Source organism: Homo sapiens, chromosome 2 (assembly GCF_000001405.40).
Source record: "Homo sapiens chromosome 2, GRCh38.p14 Primary Assembly".
NCBI classification, from domain to species: Eukaryota; Metazoa; Chordata; class Mammalia; order Primates; family Hominidae; genus Homo; species Homo sapiens.
In genome coordinates, this window is record NC_000002.12 from 71,576,391 (window position 1) to 71,595,157 (window position 18,767).

The following is an 18,767-nucleotide window of genomic DNA, read 5'->3' on the forward strand; positions in this document are numbered from 1 at the left end:
GCAGAGCCTCCCATCAGGAAACCCCAGGAGTCTTGTGTAGAGATCCAGGAGAGGTGACCACCTGGCGTGAGGCCGTGGGGCTGAGGTGGAGGGAGGTGGGACTGAAGGGTTTGGGGAGGGAAGGGCCAGAGGTGGACAGTGGGGACCCTGTGGTTGCCAGGCCGCAGGGCGGGGTGGGGCGGGCTGTGATGAGTTCACGGTTGGCCCTGGCAAGGCTGACACACACGGTGAAGTGCTGTGTGAGGGAGACAGAGCTGACGGCTGCCTGCCAGGCGGCCCAGGGCAGGAAGGCTGGAGCGGGGAGCCGAGGGGGCCGGGAGTGGGGAAGAGGTGACTGGAGACACGTGGACAAAGCGTGGATGGACCCTGGGGCTGGCTAGGGCCTGGAGGAAGAAAGTGACAAGGCTGGGGGACCCAGGCCAAGCTTTCATGGCTCAGCGCCTGGGAGAATGAGGGGGGGCACTTCCCAGAAGCAGAGAGACCGATCTGCGTATTCTTCTTGTGGAAGAGACTGTCCTGAGGGATCACTGAAACTAGGCGTGAAGTCAGCAGCCATGGGCGGGTGATGGATTGTAATTCACCTGTGACTTGCCTATGATACATGGAAGAGACCAAAGTGGCAAAGCCCCGAGTCCTGGGACAGCTTGGCTGGCAGAGAGAACCAGAAAGGGAGGCGGTGGCTTCAGAGGGCAGATCCCACAGACCTGCAGCTGGAGGACCAGAGAGTTTTGGAAGGTTTAGGTGTGTCTGGCATTTGGACGGGGCCACAGGCCCACTTGACTGTCTGGAAGACTCTATACCTGAGTGACACACACTCACACACTGTCTTACACACCAGCACACACACCAACACACACTCATACACACCAACACACACACTCTTTCCACTCATACACAACACACTCTGTTACACGAACACACACACCAACACAGTCTCTCTCCACACATTCATACACACCAATAAGCACACTAACGCACACATACACACTCATACAACACCCCCACACACTAACACCCATACACACTAACACCTACACAATCACACTCTCACACATACCCTCACACACACCAACACACTCTCTACACACTCCCATATATACCAACACACACACACAGCCCCACTCTCATGCAGCCCCCCCACTCTCACACTAACACGTACACAATCACACACATACCCTCACACACACCAACACACTCATACACACCAACACATAGACACACACACATTCTGACATACACTCTCTTACACTCACACATACACAATCATATGCACACGCACCCACACACACTCTTTCACACTCACACTCCCCCTCCACAGTCACGTTTCCGTCTTCCTGCTGGGACCCAGAATGGTTTGGGCTCCCGCTGCTGAGCTGCTGTCTTTGTCCCGGGATGTCCTGATGCCCCAGCACAGCACTGGGGCTAAGGTCCTCCCTGCCTCCTGGGGAAGGTGGTTGGATTTTCTGGGTGCTAGGACCCGGCTTCTGTCCTGAGAGCTGGTCTTTGCCCACGGGTCCCTGATGCCTGGTGATTCATTGGTGGGATGGGTGAGGCCTCTGTGGCTTGAATTCTGCTTTCCCTGCTTACTAGCTGTGGACGGGTCACTCATGCCATTAGCAACTCTGTTACCTCACTCGTGCAAGTAACTGAATCCCAGGGCCATTTTAAGGATGAATGACGATGCATGTAGTGAAGCACTTCTCAGACTTAGCAAAAGCAGGCACCGTCTGGGGATATTGTTAAAATGCAGACTCTGATTCAGGGTCTGGTGGGCCCCGAGAATCTCTGTGTCTAACAAGCCTCCACATGATGCTGATGCTGCTGGTCCAGGGGCCATCTCGGAGTAGCACAGATGTGAAGTACAAAGTGCCTCATCAAGATGGGGCTCCCATTGGCCCCCTACTTGGGTGCCCTTCTGAGAGAGGCAGAGCATGTGCATTCCTGCTGGGAGGTGTGTGGCCAGGGTCCTGGAGAGGGAGGTATGGCAAGATGACATGTTCTCCCTGCTGCTTGGTGGGGGAAATGTGGTCTTTACTTCTAATGATCCCCTGATCTGATGGTGGAGGCCTGGCTCATGGGGAACTCCTGTCTGATCAAGAAGAGAGATGTTCACATGTGAGTGCAACTAAACCCCTAGAATCTGCGTCTTTGAAGTGTTGGAGGTAGAATAAGAGTCATTCCAGAGTGGCAGTGTCTAATGAGGGGAGGCTTCTTGAAGAAGGATGTTGGGAGGCAGGCCTTGCAGGGGCTGGGGAAAGACCGTGGGTGGAAGCCAGGTAGCCTTGCTGGTAATCTGACAGTTCTGGACCAGGTCTGTGGTGCCCCCTTGCCTCCTGCCACCTTTTCCCTGACCCAACACGTCCACCAGCGAGCTGGGCCTTGCCTGCCAGCTCCCCTCTGGAAGACGTCTTGTTGGAAGGCAGGCCCTGTCTGCTCATTAGCACGGGCAGCCTTTCCCTGAAACCTTCTGCAGGGGCCAAGCCTGGCTCCTTCCACGGAGCGGGAGGCCCTGGCTCCGTCTGCTAATCGTCTGCTGTCTCCATCCCGAGCATTATTTTATTTTCGTATTATTCTTTTTCCAGCTAATATCCTGGCATTTCCAAAGACACCGGGTTTCATAATCTTCCTGGCGTTCCCAGGGAGCTGGGAAGCAGAGCACAAAGCCGCTATTATAGCGCGTTCCATCCAGCCTCCCTCTCCACCCCACACCCCCTGTGGCCACAGCAGCCACCACCGCCGCCTCCCACCCAGTCACCCCCTCCTGACGCCACCGGCCTCTCTGGGAACTCTGGTGACGGCTGCCGGGATGAGCTCACAGAATCCATCCTGTTGCCCTTGCCCTGGGCCTGCCCTCCATGATCGAGGATTTTTCCAAGCCCTGCCTCTGTGCTTGGCTTGAGTGTTGGGAAAGGTTCTCTGAGATGCCTGGGCCTGGCAGGGAGGGGAGGGACAGAAACGTCGGCAACGTGTGCTCAGAGTCTTGGAGATTTTTGCTGCTGGAAGAAACTTTCATTTTCTAAAGGCGTGCCTGATCTGCCTTGGGAGCTGTAGGAGCATCTTGATATTGGATGGAAAGTTGTGCATGTGTACGCACGCATGTATGATCTGGTGTAAGGGCCATGGTTTTATCCAATGCTCCAGGGGATCCAGGACCCCATAGAGGATAAGAATTATTAATATTCACTTTACCACGTGCTAAAAACCAGGCTTTATATGCGTCATCTCATAGTGACCCCAGAAGGCTGGATTCTATTATTAGCCCCATTTTACAGTTGGGGAGACTGAGGCTCTAGAGCTGCACTCTCCCACACAGTAGCCACTAGCCGTGGGTGGCTACTTAAGTTTACAGTTAAAGTAATCAGAATAAGAAAATTTGATTCCCCAATCAGACAGGCCACATTTCCAGTGCTCAGTAGCCACACCTGCCGAGTGGCCAGCTACCACATTGGGCAGTGCAGCCATTGACGGTTTGATCATTGCAGGAAGGTCTGCTGGACAGTGCTGCTCTGGAATGACTCCGAGCCCTAATGTCACCTTGGAAGAGGCCTGAGTGGGGATGTCCAGCAGCACAGCACGAGTCAGTGCTTAACCAAGGTCCAGGCAGTGGCTCTTCTGCCCCTCTCTCCAGGTGTCCCCTGACCAGCAGCCAAACCCCATCTGGCGCTTTCATTCCCCCACTTCTATGAGGGCATCATGTCTCTCCTGCTCCATGGAGTCCCTTTGTGGTGGGGTCCCAGGGTGGGAGGATTGGATGCTGCTGGCTAGAGGCCTCTGCCCTGGGCAGGCTTCTCCTCACCTGATAGCCAGGCAGCTTGGCAGTCCTGGGGCAGTCGGGCAGCTAGAGAGGAGCTGGCCCCCCGGCCCCAACCCTGGGAAACCTCCAGAGGGTTGGTGGAGGCCAGCATCCCGACTGCAGTAGAGAGGACCCTCAGAGACAGGCAGCTCAAGCCTGGGCCGGCGAGGCAAGGCCAGTTGGGAGTCAGAAGTGCAGGGATGTGGGTCAGGGAAAGGCTGGTTCCAGAGAGGAGTAATTTGGGTCTTGAGCTGGCTGAAAAGGAGGTCAGATGTGGATGGGGAGGGAGGGGCGGCTCTGCGCCTGAAGGAAGCCATGCTGTGGGCAGGGGACCCAGGCTTGGTTCCCAGAGCTGGCACTGTGAGCAAGGGCAGGCCCTGGGAGGTGCGAGGGGTTTACCTCATTAGGAAACAAGACCTATGGCTGGGGCTGGGGCTGGGGTGTTGAAAGGCAGCTCTGTGGATCTCTGGACTCTGTTTCTTGAATATTCACGTTGAGCACCTGTTCTATACCTGGCATTGTGCTAGCATGGGCGGCTTGAGGGCTGGATCTCCTCTCAAGCAGAGGCCTCGCTGCTCTTCCTACTGCCCCTCAGTAGGGGACAATTTGGGTAACTCTAAATGCGTGGACCCTGCATCTGTCTCGCTCAAGATTTGAACCCCAAGGTCTGGAGGATTCGATTGCGTGTCCATGTGCCTCAGGCAAAATGCCAGCGCCCAGATTCATGGCTGCAGAGGAGTGTGTTACAGTTGGGCACATGTGTTGAGTATCACCCATGTGGGTCATTGTACATGCATGAGGGTCTTCATCTGTCATTGCTAGAGTGACCATATAATTTACTGTCCAGTCTGGAACACTATTAATAATCACACTGGAAAAGCAGGCGTAAGTAGGACCATTCCAGGCAAACTGGGCCATAGAGTTGTCCTAATTACCAAGGCACCCTGGCGTGGGATGAAACCTGCTCCAGTGTTCTCTGCAACATCCGCATGTGGAGACATGGAAACCCTAGAGGGACAAGCACACACGCATACACGCTCGCGCCAGCCCACACGTGGCATCGTGGATTCTCCAGGTTTCCTGATTCCACCCTCAGCTCCCCAGGGGCCAGCCAGTAGTTTTGCAAGGAGTTTAGCAGCTGCTTCCAAGCCCTGGCTCCAGCTGTAAATTAAATGGGGTTGCACTCTCGCCTGCTATTCCACTTAAGGTTGCAATCAGCCCTGATTAGAAAGGGAGTCTGTGTGTTCCTGTGTTCCGTTCTGTCTTTTAAAGGGTTCCCCTCCTTTGGCCTGGGCTCCTGGCCTGTGTGGGGTTTCCCTGCAAGCTGAGGCTGGAGCAGCCAGGGAAATGAAGTGGGCCCTGGGTTCCCCACAGCCCTGACTTGGCATTCAACCATCTGTAGCTCCAGAACTTTGCTCAGGTGCTTTGAGCTCTGATGGGGTAGTAGGAGCCTGGGAAGAGCCTTGAGAGTGGGCAGGAGGACCCCAGGTTCTGCCAGCTAATTTGCTGTGTAGCCCCAGGGAAGACCTTAACCTCTCTGGGCCCCAGTTTTCTTGCTTATCAGGTGGGAATGCTAAAAACACAACAAAAATAATAACCTCTTCTTATGGAGCAGGGGTCAGCAAACTATGCCCCACAGGCCAAATCTGGCCCTCTGCCTGCTTTTGTAAATAAGGCTTTATTGGCCGGTGGCTCACACCTGTAATCCCAGCACTTTGGGAGGCCAAGGCAGGCAGATCACCTGAGGTCAGGAGTTTGAGATCAGCCTGGCCAATATGGTGAAACCCCATCTCTGCTAAAAATACAAAAATTATTCAGGAGGCTGAGACAGGAGAATTGCTTGAACCTGGGAGGCAGAGGTTGCGGTGAACTGTGATCGTGCCATTGCACTCCAGCTTGGGAGACAGAAGGAGACTCCGTCTCAAAAAAAAAAAAAAAAAAAAAAAAAAAGGCTTTATTGGCACATAGCTGGTACTCATTCACCTATGTAGTGCCTGTGGCTGCTTTTTTGTTACAACAGCAGCCGAACAGTTGCAGCAGAGACCCTATGGCCCACGAAGTCAAAAGTAGTTAGCACTTGGCCCTTTATAGACAAGGTCTGTCAACCTCTGTTCTAGGGCATGTACCGTGGGCCAGCCATTGCCTTCTGCCCTGTCCACATAGTATCTCATTTAACCCTTCCAGCAGTTCTAGGAGATAGGGTCTGTCAGCACTCCCATTCCATTTTACACTTAAGCAAACTGAGGTAACCGAGAAGCCAAGTAGTAATTGTTTAGCTGTGTTTCCTCCCATGAATATTGTGAAAAATTTTATGGATAATGGTTGGGTTGTGCAGGGTTTGTAGTAGTGTACACTACATCATCATGTTGGCATTTGGATGTCCCAGCAAAGCCTATAGTGAAGAGAGTGAAGATGGTGAAGACCTGGAAGATCACCCTAGAACTGTGCTGGTCAATGTTTAACAACCAGGTCTCCAGAACAAAACAAAACAAAACAATCCCCAGCCCTGGTTTGTAGCATTTGCTGATTTCCATGGTGTAGCTGTTCCTGCCATGACCAATTTCAAGCTAGCAATGTGGCACCACTGAACACAGAGCTGGGAAGAGACGGGCAGTAGCACACTGATACATAATATTTCCATCACAGATACATGAGATGGAAGCAGCCTCAGGAGCAGAGATAACGGGAAAAGGTAGTACAAAAATTAGAATGGGCCAGGCGTGGTGGCTCATGCCTGTAATCTCAGCACTTTGGGAGGCTGAGGTGGGAGGATTGCTTGAACCCAGGGAGGTTAAGGCTGCAGTGAGCTGTGATTGCGCCACTGCACTCCAGCTTGGGTGACAGAGCAAGACTCCATCTCAAAAAAAAAAAAAAAAAAAAAAAAAAGAGAAATTAGAATGATTTCAAGTATTTACCACCTTGAGTTTTTAAATATAGTTTCTTTAGTGGTAAATGTATATGATTTAATTTTTACTAATGGCTGTGTTTAACAACTGGCTTGCAGAATTCCTGAAAATATAATCTGCTCTCGTGAACCACATGCGCTCACTCCAGCACCTGCTGCTCTGAGGGGCCCCCTGACCCCTTTTACATAAGAGATGGGGGATGGCCCCCAACAGTAGTGCCCCTTCCAACAGCCCTGCCACAGGTGCTCTTCAGGCCCATCCTGTGTAGGAGTTGAGTCCTCCCCATAAAGTGAAGGAGGGTAGCCAGCCTCCAGCTGGTCCACACCCATCTGCTTGACTCTGCTGGAGCAGGGAAGGTCTCTGTGGCCTCCCTGGTGGCCCCTGAGATGTTTCCTTTCTGGCCACTGTGGGGCTTTCCCCTGCCTGCTCAGCCCCAGGAAGCCTCACTGCTTAGCCTGTGACTTGTTGCTGTGTCCACCCCTGCTCTGGCCCTTCTGTCACCTTACTGTCTCCACTTTATAGATCCTGAGCCAGAACTCTAGGCCCTGTTTAGACCAAGGCACCATTGCAAACAGAGGGTCTGCAGACAGAGGGCACAGACACCCCGTGGTGCAGAAGGAATCTCAGACATGCTGGTGGGCTCGATCTTGGTACTGATCTGATTTAGGTGGGTTGAGGAGTCCCCTTTGTAGGCTGTGTTTCCCCAGAACCTGACTATCTCCTCCTGGCTGTGGTCCTTGGATATTAGTCCTTGGCAGACTCAGGTGAGTTTGGCCATTGGCTCTGGGGACCCCTGGGGGAGCCCTGTGGCTCTGGGAGGCAGAGAGTTCCTCATATTCCTATGCTCAGGCTCCTCCAGGGAGCCGTGGCTTCCAGCCGGGCAGCAGCGGGTTGGAGGCCACCCAGTTCCCTGGACAAGCAGCAAGATCCCTTACACAGCTAGCCCAAGATGGAGTGCGTGGCCACAGACCGTGTGGCTGCCAGCCCCAGCCTGGGAGTTGCGGTGGCATGAGCTATCAAGGCAGGAATGTGACTGTGGGAAACCCAATGCCCTGGGCCTGGCCCTGGGGCTGGGCAAGAGTGTGTGTGTGTGTGTGTGAATGGGGGTGAAGGGTGGGTGGGCAGAAACCAGGGCATCAGCCTCTCCTGCAGCTTGGCTCTGCACGGGGCTCAGAGTGGGAGCAGAGGCAAAGCGGCCCTCCCTGTCCTGGCCTTGTCCACCTGGCCAAGCCTTTCCTCTAGGCTCCAGTGTGCTGCTGCCGCTCTCCCAGTTCCAGCACCCTCCTTCCCCTCCTCCAGGAAGCCTTCCTGAAGGGGCTTCCAAAGGCCTACCCCATTCCATCCCACCCCACAGATGGCCTCATCCTGGGGTGTAAGTGAGTCCACATTAATCCCTTTTTCCATAGTAACATCAGACCCGACTCTGAGCTTCCTGAAGGTAGGAGGTGCTGTCTGATGCACCTTGCCTGTCCTTTGCCCTGGGACCTTAGGCCTGGGTGCTGCACATGTGGCTTAGGGCGAGGGAATTCTGGTGATTGACTGCATGTGATAAATCTTCATTGGACGCCCACTACATGCTCGATGTTGGACTGGGTGCAGGGGATAAAGGAGTGTGTATGTCTTGCCTGCATACATGGAGGGTAGATGCAGGGGAGAAGCTGGGAGAGGCTGGGTAGGGGCTGCTGCTGAAGGCTGGGCAGCCAAGGAGGTGCCCATACCTCAGAGATGATGCAGCTAAGGAAGAGCCTGAGTTAGCTCATTTGAGAAGACATTCCAAATGGAGAGGACGACATCCCTGCATAAAGGCCCTGTGGCAGAGGAAAGGTTATGAATTCAAGAAATTTACAGAAGGCCAGAGGAGAGGAGTGTTATTTAACAAGAGCCTAGAGAGATGAAAGAGTTAAACCAGGTACCTGCCAAGGACCGTGGGGTATCATTTCATTCAGTTTTCACTACTAGTTCTCTACAGGGCACAGTTTCCCCGAACCTGGCCACAGGGGACATTGGGCAATGTCTGGAGACATTTCTAGTGATCGTAACTCAGTGGAGATGCTACTGGTATCTAACAGGTAGAGGCCAGGGACGCTGCTAAACATCCTACGACGCACAGGACAGCCTCATAGCAAAGAATATTCCAGGCCCAATTGCCAAGGTTGAAGAGCCGTGCATTTTCCACAGTAGCCCTGTGTGGGTGCTTGTGAGGCTATGCGTGTTAGAATGCAATTTTCAACAGGTCGGGCAGGGATGGCCTCTCTGGGCAGGTGCCACTGGCCCCGTGAGCAGCAGTAGCCATTTCACAACTTGAATGGGCAATGCCTGGCACAGAGTAGGTGTTTCGTAAATGGGTGGCACATCAGAGGAGAGACTGACGGGAGGGAGATGCTTCCCCAAAGTTCCCAGATTGGGTTTTCAAGAGGCCTTGTTACTTGCTTTGAGAGAAATTCCCCAAGCTTGAGCCACGCTGATGTCCACACCTGAAAACCAGAATGTACTTCAAAATCAAGAAGGCATGACATTGGCGGATCCCCACCGGGCCGGCCTGTGTCATCTGCCCTCCTCAAGGCCGACACAGTTGTCTTTCCCTGAGGCAGGTGCCCATTGTTCGTGAGTTCACTCACTTGTTCACCAATGATGTGTTGAGCACCTGCTGCCTGTGAGGTGCTCTGCTGGGTGATGGGTGCACGCTGGGCACCTGGCTGGGCTCTCAGTGGGACAAGCAGATGGGTGCTCGCAATGTAAAGTGGTGAGTGCAGTGGCTGGGGAAATTCAGGGCGAAGTGGGAGTGCCCAGGAGGGGTACCTAACACATCCTTGCAGGGTGACCTTGATGATAAGACTGCACAGAAACGTCAGGGGACACATGGGGCAAGGGCCTGGGGGCAAGAAAGGAGACCTCAGAGTGTTGCAGCTGGTGTGAGCAGGTAGGGGGTGTAGGGGTTTGGGGGTCTGTGGGTTTGGTAGTGTCCTGACTGCCAGAGACTCAATTTAGAGGCCACAGCAGGCCAGGAGGGAGGGGTGGCCTTCCCTCTGCTCCCAGGGTCTAATGGGGATGTATGGAGAGCCCAGTCTCCCCTGGGAGGGCCAGTGGACCAGAGGATATAAGGATGTTGGCCAGGCGTGTGGGTGGAAGTTTGCCCGGATTGTGAATCAGGGTGGTACAAAGAGGGACTGAGCTTAGTGGCTTCCCTCAGCCTGGCTCTGGGGGGTGTGTCTCCCCTGGTGCCCCAGTAATACTTCTTCCTAAAAATCCCCATCTGTCTCCCTGAGGTAGAGGGAGAAGGTCAGCACTTGGGTGGCAGATGGGGTGAGGGTGGGCAGCAGGCCCCTGGACCAGGTGTGGTGTGGCTGGGCCCCTCCTCTGGAGCCAGGTCAGGTTTTGGAACCCAGGCAGTATGAGGGGCATTCTCAGTGGGAGCGTTGGTTCCTCCCCCTGCAGGACAGTCACTTGCAGGGCCAGGGACTCAGTGAGGTCCACATGGAAATCCCAAGGAGGGAGATGCTGCTTCTGATTGCAGGCAGGAGGCCCTGCCCTTGGACAGAGACCCAGAACGTGCTGCCAGAACCTCAGACAGAGGCCTTGGGAGTGGTGCTGACAGGGGCCCAGTGAGGGGGGCCATCTAGAGGAGGTGCCTGGTGAGTGGGGATGAGCACTGGCAGCCATCCGCGAGCAGGGAGGTCCCTGCAGGCGCTGGGAGGGAGAGAGGAAGGATGGGGCCCTGGAGCCGGAGGCGCCTCCCTCCCTATGCTCACCCTAGCCCCCTACCTGCGGGTGGGGCACATGTGTGTGGCCGGACTGAGGTAGACGGACCACAGAGTCCATCCCACCTGCCTGCAGCTGAGTCCACCCCCTATCCTCCCTACTCCCACTGCTCCCACCCCTTACCGGTGCCCCAGCAGCTAGAGGTGCTGAGATGCAGGCATCACGCACTGTTGCACCTGCGGGCTGGCCAAGCCCTATTTCCAGCGTCCTAACCAGCTTTCCTTAGTGTCCCTGCCTCCCAAGTCTAAGAGGCCTGCTGGGCCTCCAGGTTTGCTTTGCGTTTGGTGTTGCACACCCTGCAGCCAGGGGGGTGTTCTGTGGTCATTCAGGGCTGGGCTTGGTGCTCCCTCCAGTGGGTTGCCAGCGCTGCAGGGCCAGGCCAAACGCCTCTCCTGGCAGGGGCCCAGGGCTTCCATACCTGTTCACGAGGGAGGATTTCAGGCCTTTGGGTCCGTGAGAGAGAGCGAGAGAGGGGGAAAGAAACTCCATGTACAAACCACCACTGCCTGGAGGCACTGGGAGAGGCTCTTGCTGGTTTGCTTGATTCTTACTGAAATGTCCACTTTTACACCTTGGAATCATTTTCAACAAATATGAGTGATGTGAACACCACTCCCAGCACATGACAAACTTTATAGTTTATGACACGCCCCCTCCCCAAGCCCTGTGCCTTCCCTCGTAAGGTCATTGATAGCTAACATTTCTTGAGCATTTACTGTGAACCAGGAAGTGTGCTAAGAACTACATCTTCTGTATCTTCTTTAATAATCAAAGCAACTCTCTAAAATAGATACTGTATAATTATCCCAAATTTATAAAGTGATTGATTCAGAGAAGTTAAGCCACTTGCCCAAAGTCACACAGCCAGTAGTAAACAGCAGGGCCAGAACTGGAGCCCGAGGAATCTGGTTTCAGAGCCCATGTTGAAGTTGTGGCCAAAGGAAGAGGAGAGTCCAGGCATCTCCCTGTCAGAAATGAGGATGTCCTGTGGTGGAAGTCAGAGCCCACCCAGGGATAGCAGGACCTTGGAGAGTCCCCTGGGAGAATAGAGGGACTCAGCCTTTCCCAAGTGTGTGTTTTGCAGGCCCTTTGCAGCAAGGGAGCAGAGGAAGACCCAGCCTACCTTAGGATGCAATTCCTTTTTGACCCAGAGTGACCAGGGCAGGCTTTGCTTAGGTGTCCTAAGATGATCTGAAGACGGGGAGGCCTGGGATGGTTGACGGCACCTCTGGCTGTGGAACAGCATAAGCTTGCTATGGGAGTGAGTGTGTCTGGGACAGCTTTAAGGAGCGTGGTTTGCCTGAAGCCAAGGGCCGGGTTTGGGGGAAGAAAGCCTTGGTGTCGGATGGGGAAAGATAGGGCGGGTCACTGGGGGTCTGAATGGGAGAAGGCTGGACTGGACCTTTCAGGCCACCGAAGGATTCAGGCCGAGGAGCTGCATAGTGACCGAGGGTGATGAAGCTGGTTTTGGCTTGGGGATGGCTGGCCAGAGGTGGGAGAACAGGTGTCTAGGGAGGCTTCTTGGACAAGGGGCTCTGGGACTGAGTCTTGAGGGTGGGCATGGTTTGGAGAGCAGGGGCACAGTAGTGGCAGTGGTGTCTTGTGTTGGAGGCACTGGGGGGCTTTGTAGCTTCAGAGCCTGGGGAGAGGTTGAAATTCTTGGGAAATGGTTCCAGGGTGAAGGTCAGGGTGGCCCAGCAGAAGAATCCTGGGAACTGGCCACTCTGGGTGGGATGAATGGGCCGTCTGAGGAAGAGGCCAGGGTTTTCTTTCAAGGGTGTGTACACGTTTGTGAGATGTGGGACTGAACAAGGAAGTGGAGTAGAGACCGTTTTATTACTTAACCCCACCCCTCTGAAATGGAGCAGGCGACAGTTTGGGTAGTGGGCAGGAGGGAGAGGAGAGAGGCACATGGAGAAATTTGAGTGAGTGCAGAGGGAGCAGACAGCACGGGGTGTCTAGTAACGGCCACCGACTCTCCCCAGTCCCTCTGTAGGCTGTGGCTTGGGCTTCTGGCCCTGGGCTGAGGAAGTGCATCGGAGAGCTGGGTGTCTGGCCCAGGGAAGTGGTCCAGTCTTGGTGCTCCCCAAAGTGGTTTGTGGCTCAGTGGTTGGAGCCCAGTGCTAATGAGGGCGAGGTGGCAGGGCTGACCATCTAGCTTTATACACAGTAAACAGACAGCTTGGCTTCCGAGCCTGACTGTCCACCCACTCCTGTCCCCACCTCTGTCCTCAGCCTGAGCCTTGCTCACCCTCAGCAGAGTGGGAACTGGTGAGAGATGGTGGGTGTGTGGTGCAGCTTCCTCCAGAGCTTGGGACCCAGCTCGATGTTAGCAGGGGGTGGCAGAGATGGGGACCCAGAGATGCTAGCCTGGAACCTCCACATTTCGATTCCACTGGACTTGTCCCTAGTGGGCAGATCCCCATTTGATTCTCCCCTGGAGAGCCCCTTCGGGTCATTCCTTCTAATCTCTTTGCCTGGAACAACTAAAAATTCCGTTCTGACTCATCTGGTCTTCACTAGAGAGGGAGAAGAATTTCCTACAGTCCTTTGGTGCTTTGACATTGGAGTCTGGTGATTTTTTAGGAGAGGTTGAGCTCCCCAGAATGAAATTAGAGGCTGAGAGTTCAGCTTTCGGCAGCGGAGAGATCTCCTGGCCCTGGGGATCTAACTCTCTGGGCTAGTCTCCCTGCCACCCCCAGGCCTGGGGGCAGAATCTGCCATAACCAGCTTCGTGTCTCCAGGGCGGCGTGATGGATGACAAGAGTGAAGATTCCATGTCCGTCTCCACCTTGAGCTTCGGTGTGAACAGACCCACGATTTCCTGCATATTCGACTGTAAGTGAGGCTTCGAGGCCTCTATGGGGTGATAAGGGTGTGTCACCTTATGCTTCTGTTTGGATGGAGTTATACGATCAGATGTGTATGTGGGGCTCTGGGGAGCTGAGTCTCTGTGCTTTTTGGTGGGTCAGTGCTGTGTGTATGTGTGTGTGTGTGCGCGCGTGCGTGCACGTGTCCGTGCCTATCTGTGTGGTGTGTCCACCCACTCAAATCTGAGATCAGGCATTTAAGGCCCTGCGCTCTGTGGCTGTCCCATTGTCTATTTGGCCTCCCCTCCTCCCCTCTTCCTCTATCTCTTCTCCCCAGCCCTAGGCTGGCCCAAGGACATGTTAATTAGTCAGGTGTCCGCTTTCAAGCTGTGGTCTGTTCTCCTGACCTCGCACAGTGGCCTGTGTGGTTTCCCTCATTCAGCCCCTCTGTCTGCTGCCCTTTCTAGGGACAGACTCCACCTCCCCCCGAGCCCCAGCTCTTAACCACTCCAGCCACTCACTCTGGCACCTCTGTTTTTTCCCTTGGTGAAGATGGGAACCGCTACCATCTACGCTGCTACATGTACCAGGCCCGGGACCTGGCTGCGATGGACAAGGACTCTTTTTCTGGTAGGTGGGAGAGAGGCAGGAGAGTCAGAGACTGTGGGCTGAGATCTGGGAATGGAGACATCTGGCTTTCGGGCAACAAGGGGTGCTGTTTGCTGGGTGCATGGAGATGGGTGCTGTCACCAGGGTCCTGTGGCTTCTTGGTCGTCAGGTGCAGCAAACTCTTGTCCATGGCCTGCTGGTCTTCTTGGTAGGATCAGGCTTCGCTGACTGTCCCCTCTTTCCTGAAAGCCCCTTGGCCTTGGCTCTAGCCGCCAGTCTCTGGAGGGTCCCTGCAGCCTCCTCCCTGACCTGCTCCTCCTTGATGCTTCATTGCCCTATAAGCCTGATGCTCCAAGAAGTCTTGTCTGTGTCCTCTCTCTGGGCACCGGGGTCCCCCAACTTCTCCACCTTCACTCACCTCAGTTCATCCTGTGCAAACCTCCATGTGACCTTGCTCCCCAGCTCCCCCCACCCAGATCCAGGCTGCCTCTGCATTTCCTGCCATGGCCCTGGGGTTGGCAGCCATCTGTTACCCAGGCTGGAAATTCTCAGTCACCCAGTCCTGAGGATTCTACCTCCTGAATCCCTCTCAGATCTGTTCCCTCCTCTTTAATGTCACACTGCCATCTGACACTGGCCTTGCCCCTTTGTATCTAGGTCATTCTGGTTATCTTCTGATCTCCCTGGCACCTTCCACACTGCCCCAGACACACCTGGTCACATCCCTCCCCTGATTTCAAGTATAGACACTGACAGATAACCTCCAACTCAGCACAGCAGACAAGTCCCTTGTGATGTAACCCTGTGGTCCTCACCTGGTTCACCTTTTGCTCATTGCCCTCTATCCAGTAGCTCCAGCCCCACCAACTCTGTCCACGTTGCCCATGTCTGGCCTTTGCACTCAGTGCGCTCTCTGTCTAGAACACATTTGCTCCCTATTTCTAACCAGCAAACTCCTAGTTATCCTTCAAGACCCAGCCCAGATGCCCTCTGACTTCCCCAAGCCAAGCTGTTTGCTCCTTCCCTCAGCACTTGGCCAGTGCCTTACCAGCACCTCCCTCAGAGGCCTTCCCCTCTGCACAGATCAACAGTGGTCTATCTCTGCCATCTCCTTCCTGCTCTGACCATGAGCTCCCCCAGGAAATGGTCTCGTCTTACTTTGAACCTGCAGCACTTGATGGCTAAAGAACAAACACTTGCTGAGTGCTCACTATGTGCCCAGGCGTTTTGCTGACACTATTTCATGTAACCCTTACAATTGCCCTGTGAAGTAGGTGGTCAACATCCCCATTTTATAGGTGAAGAGACAGATACTCGGATAGGTTAACTAAATGCTTGCATTAAAATAGCTACCAAGTGACAGAGCTTGGAAGGGAACCCAAGGCTATCACTGTCTGAGTGCCTGCTGTTTGGTTGAGTAGAACTGAGTTCCATGGGAGTGACTTCCTGGTCACAGCAGGGCTCTGCAGCTGATGGCCATCTGCCGGCTTCCTTGCTGGTCCACTCTCCTCCGCGATGTGGGGTCCAGTCTGTGTCCTTCTCTCCAGCAGCTGTGGCCCTCAGTGGCCCATCCTCCAGCTCTGTGCAGCCAGGTGCGGGGTGGATGAGGAAGTTCTACCCCGTTTTGCTTTGGGGCCAGGGTCCTGAGAGCTCCCTCTGCAAGTGTATATAGCAGCAACCCGCCAGAATTTACAGGCCCAGGCCAGACAGGCATCTGCAGTGGCTAACTTGTCCTGGGAAACTTGTCCAGGAGTCTGACGATTAGAACTTACTCTGAGAAAAAGGACATGGACGAGTTTATAGCCTTGCTTCCTCTCCCTTCCCGGAAGGGCGTGAGAGGTGAGGGTGCCGGGAGCGGGTTTGTGAGAGGGGGATGGCCAGGGGGGGCCCAGGCAGAAGCCCCCTTGTCCTCTGTGGGCCCTGCGGGCCGAGCACCCTGCAGAGAGGGGAGGGAACTCCTCCAAGGGCCCAGCACTGGGAGCCTATGCTCCCCTCTGGAGACGGCATTGGTAGGGCAGTGGCACTGGTCTGCGGAGACGTCACACTTTCCATCCTGGCCCCACCCCCTCCCCCAAATAAACATCCCTTGAGCTTTGAGGGCACTGCCCAGGGCTTCCTCAGAGGCCACTGGCTTCTGAATGAAAGGCCCGATTGAGCAGCTGCTGGAAAGGAAAACAGCAGCCAACATGGGTGAACCTATAAAACCCAGAGTGTTTATTTTCACTCCCAAACCCTAAACCAAAGCAATTTCTCCCCTGGAACTGACCCTGGGGCGGCTGGCGGCCGGAGGCTGTGCATGGCCACCGGCTGGCATTTCTCTGAGGAAACTCATGTGTGAATCCGGAATGTCTGGGGCCAGGGGAGGGCCTGGCACAGTGTCTGTCACTGGTGCAGCTTCCAGCTGCCTGCCGGGTGTCTGGGGCAGAGAGGGCCCTCCTTGAACCACTCTCCCAGTGCCTCTGACCTGTGGCTCTCTGGGCCTTTCCCCGGGGGCTCCTACAGCCCTCTGCTGTGCTCTTTGCTTCTCTCTATATGGTGGGTCTCGGGGCTGCCCGGACATTGGGGCCATGGCTGCTCCTTCTCCCTGGTCGAATATTTGAGGAGATAGGCAGGGGTTGCCCAGAAAACACTTGTTGAATAATATTGAACTTGGGAGAGGGAGGCTGTCCTAGAGATATTGCCATCCAGACGGCCTGAGGGTTGCACCTTAGGTGGGGTTTGAGTGTATGGCTGGGATATCAATTCTCTGGACCAGTGGAAGGGCATCTGTGGTATGTGCTTGTGTGTTTATTAATGTGTGTGCCCTGTGCAGCAATTAGTCATAAAAAACATAAAGTGATACTTAATTCAGTGACTTCTTTTTTTTTTTTTTTTTTTTTTTTGAGACAGAGTTTCGCTCTTGTTGCCTAGGCTGGAGTGCAATGGCGCTATCTTGGCTCACTGCAACCTCCGCCTCCCAGGTTCAAGTGATTCTCCAGCCTCAGCCTCCCAAGTAGCTAGGATTACAGGCACCCACCACCATGCCCAGCTAATTTTTTGTATTAGTAGAGATGAGATTTCCCCTTGTTGGCCAGGCTGGTCTTGAACTCCTGACCTCAGGCGATTCACCCGCCTTGGCCTCCCGGAGTGCTGGGATTACAGGCGTGAGCCACTGTGCCCGGCCAGTTCAATGACTTCTTTTTGTTGTTGGGGTGGGGTTCCCACTGCTTTGTGAACATCTGTTGTATGTACTGGGTTTGCTTTGAAATGAAAGGCTATGACTTGAGAGGACTTAGAACACGTCACCAACACCACACCTAGCTCCGTCCTGCCCACCCCTTTGGTGTGGAGTGGGTAGCATTGCTTCCCTGAACGGTAGCCTGAGCTGAGTTACTCTTCATTGTAGATTGGTGTTTCTCACAGGGAACCAGGGAAGAAGGTGTCAATTTGGCCCCCTCTGCCAGCTAAGAACTGCTGTTGTGGTTGGAGGGATCATAAGCTCTGCTTGTAGAGCTGCCCGCCCAGATGGAGGACCCTCAGGCAGCTCTATCATGAGGTCACCACGTTCCATTCCAAGGGATGACCCTCAGCTTAGGAGGGGCCCAGAAATCCCTCTTTGAGGCCCTCCCAGGTCACTGGGCTCAGGCGGTCCAACTTGGCTAACTGAGCCAATGAGAGATGGCTGATAGACCAGATGCCACGTCATTTATTAATTTACAGGGGTGAGTACCTCTCAAGAAAGTAGAAGGTCCTGTGCCCTCTTTGCTGGCCTTACAGCTCCAGGTAAGGTCACAGTGGTGGGCCAGGTAGGTGATCCTATGGGATGGTCCTGCCAGACCAGGCTGCAGTGAGGTTTGATGAGCCGGAGCTGCCCACAGCTGGGGCCACGTCTTGATGACCGGTGCCTTAGTTTCCCTCAGATTCAGACTCAGTCCTGGGTGGTGCTGGGGATTTCTTGCTTTTGGGTTTCCCAAGTCTGAACTCCAGTCTTCCTTCCCAACCCCTTTTTAAGCACAGCTTTTTGTTAAGGTTGGCTCTGGCTGGGGCAATCCACCAGACGAGCTTAAGGAGGTGTTTTCCAAAGTGCATTGGAGGCTTGTGAAATGCTCCACTTAAAAAGGGTTCCTGAGTAAGAGAGACTGGGAAACACTGCACGCTTCGGGATTTACAATGCACAGTGGCATATGAGAGGCTCTGAGGCGGCTGCAGGGAGGGAGCCTGTTTAATCTGTTTAAGCACTCATTAGCTCCCCAGAAAACCCACCACTCAAAGAACACATTTTGGGAAACACTGATCTACAGGATTCCGTCCAAATTGCTCAGCAGGAATCCAGGACCATTTGTGATCTGCCCCTCCTCCCCTCCTGCCTCCACTGTCCCCACTGCCCTGGTGCTCCCTTCATCCCCTCAGCCAGACCAATGGCTTGCTGATCCCCAAGTGCCTAAAGTCTTTGGTGTGTTTACCCTTGCCATGCTTGCGCCTGGAATGCCCCCTTTTCCTTGGTCTGCACGGCCTACCTCCTCATCCTTGAGGCCTGCTTTGGGAAGCCTGACTTGGTGCCAGCAGGCGACATCAGGTGCTCCTCACCCCTGCCCCTGTATACTCCACTATTAAGTAGCACATCACCTTGTATTATACCTGTTTAGGTTACAATTTCCAACCAGTAGTCACACTCTTAAGAGCCTGGATTATGTCTCATTCATCTTCCTATTCCTAGCACTGTGCTAACCTCCCACAGGATAGCCAATCAATAATTGTATAGTGAATGATGCATACAAATAACGCAAGAGTGAACGTCTTTGTACATACATCTAGCTTTTTGGTGAATCTGGATGACTCCCAGGAATATGGGAAAAGGGTATAAATGGTTTTATGTTTTTCAGGGCATAGTGCCCAATTGCTTTTCTGAAG

General features: G+C 54.2%; 1 protein-coding gene across 14 annotated transcripts in view, besides 4 other annotated features; it reads left to right on the forward strand.

Moving 5' to 3' along the window:
- The window catches only part of DYSF (dysferlin), a 233,203-nt gene that overhangs the window by 122,830 nt on the left and 91,606 nt on the right, over positions 1-18,767 (forward strand). For all 14 annotated transcript variants that reach the window (NM_001130979.2, NM_001130981.2, NM_001130980.2 and 11 more), the window contains 2 exons: positions 13,203-13,296; positions 13,821-13,898. In NM_001130979.2, coding sequence (NP_001124451.1) covers positions 13,203-13,296; positions 13,821-13,898 — 172 coding nt within the window. The remainder of the gene's footprint in view (positions 1-13,202; positions 13,297-13,820; positions 13,899-18,767) is intronic.
- Positions 9,986-10,494: an enhancer, noted in NCBI's record as "H3K4me1 hESC enhancer chr2:71813506-71814014 (GRCh37/hg19 assembly coordinates)". NCBI's record gives its function as "activates a minimal SCP1, AML or CMV promoter by ChIP-STARR-seq in primed H9 embryonic stem cells {active_cell/tissue: H9 hESC(primed)}" and the evidence as "EXISTENCE:reporter gene assay evidence [ECO:0000049][PMID:30033119]".
- Positions 10,495-11,003: an enhancer, noted in NCBI's record as "H3K4me1 hESC enhancer chr2:71814015-71814523 (GRCh37/hg19 assembly coordinates)". NCBI's record gives its function as "activates a minimal SCP1, AML or CMV promoter by ChIP-STARR-seq in primed H9 embryonic stem cells {active_cell/tissue: H9 hESC(primed)}" and the evidence as "EXISTENCE:reporter gene assay evidence [ECO:0000049][PMID:30033119]".
- Positions 12,040-12,620: an enhancer, noted in NCBI's record as "H3K4me1 hESC enhancer chr2:71815560-71816140 (GRCh37/hg19 assembly coordinates)". NCBI's record gives its function as "activates a minimal SCP1, AML or CMV promoter by ChIP-STARR-seq in primed H9 embryonic stem cells {active_cell/tissue: H9 hESC(primed)}" and the evidence as "EXISTENCE:reporter gene assay evidence [ECO:0000049][PMID:30033119]".
- Positions 17,687-18,186: an enhancer, noted in NCBI's record as "H3K4me1 hESC enhancer chr2:71821207-71821706 (GRCh37/hg19 assembly coordinates)". NCBI's record gives its function as "activates a minimal SCP1, AML or CMV promoter by ChIP-STARR-seq in naive H9 embryonic stem cells {active_cell/tissue: H9 hESC(naive)}" and the evidence as "EXISTENCE:reporter gene assay evidence [ECO:0000049][PMID:30033119]".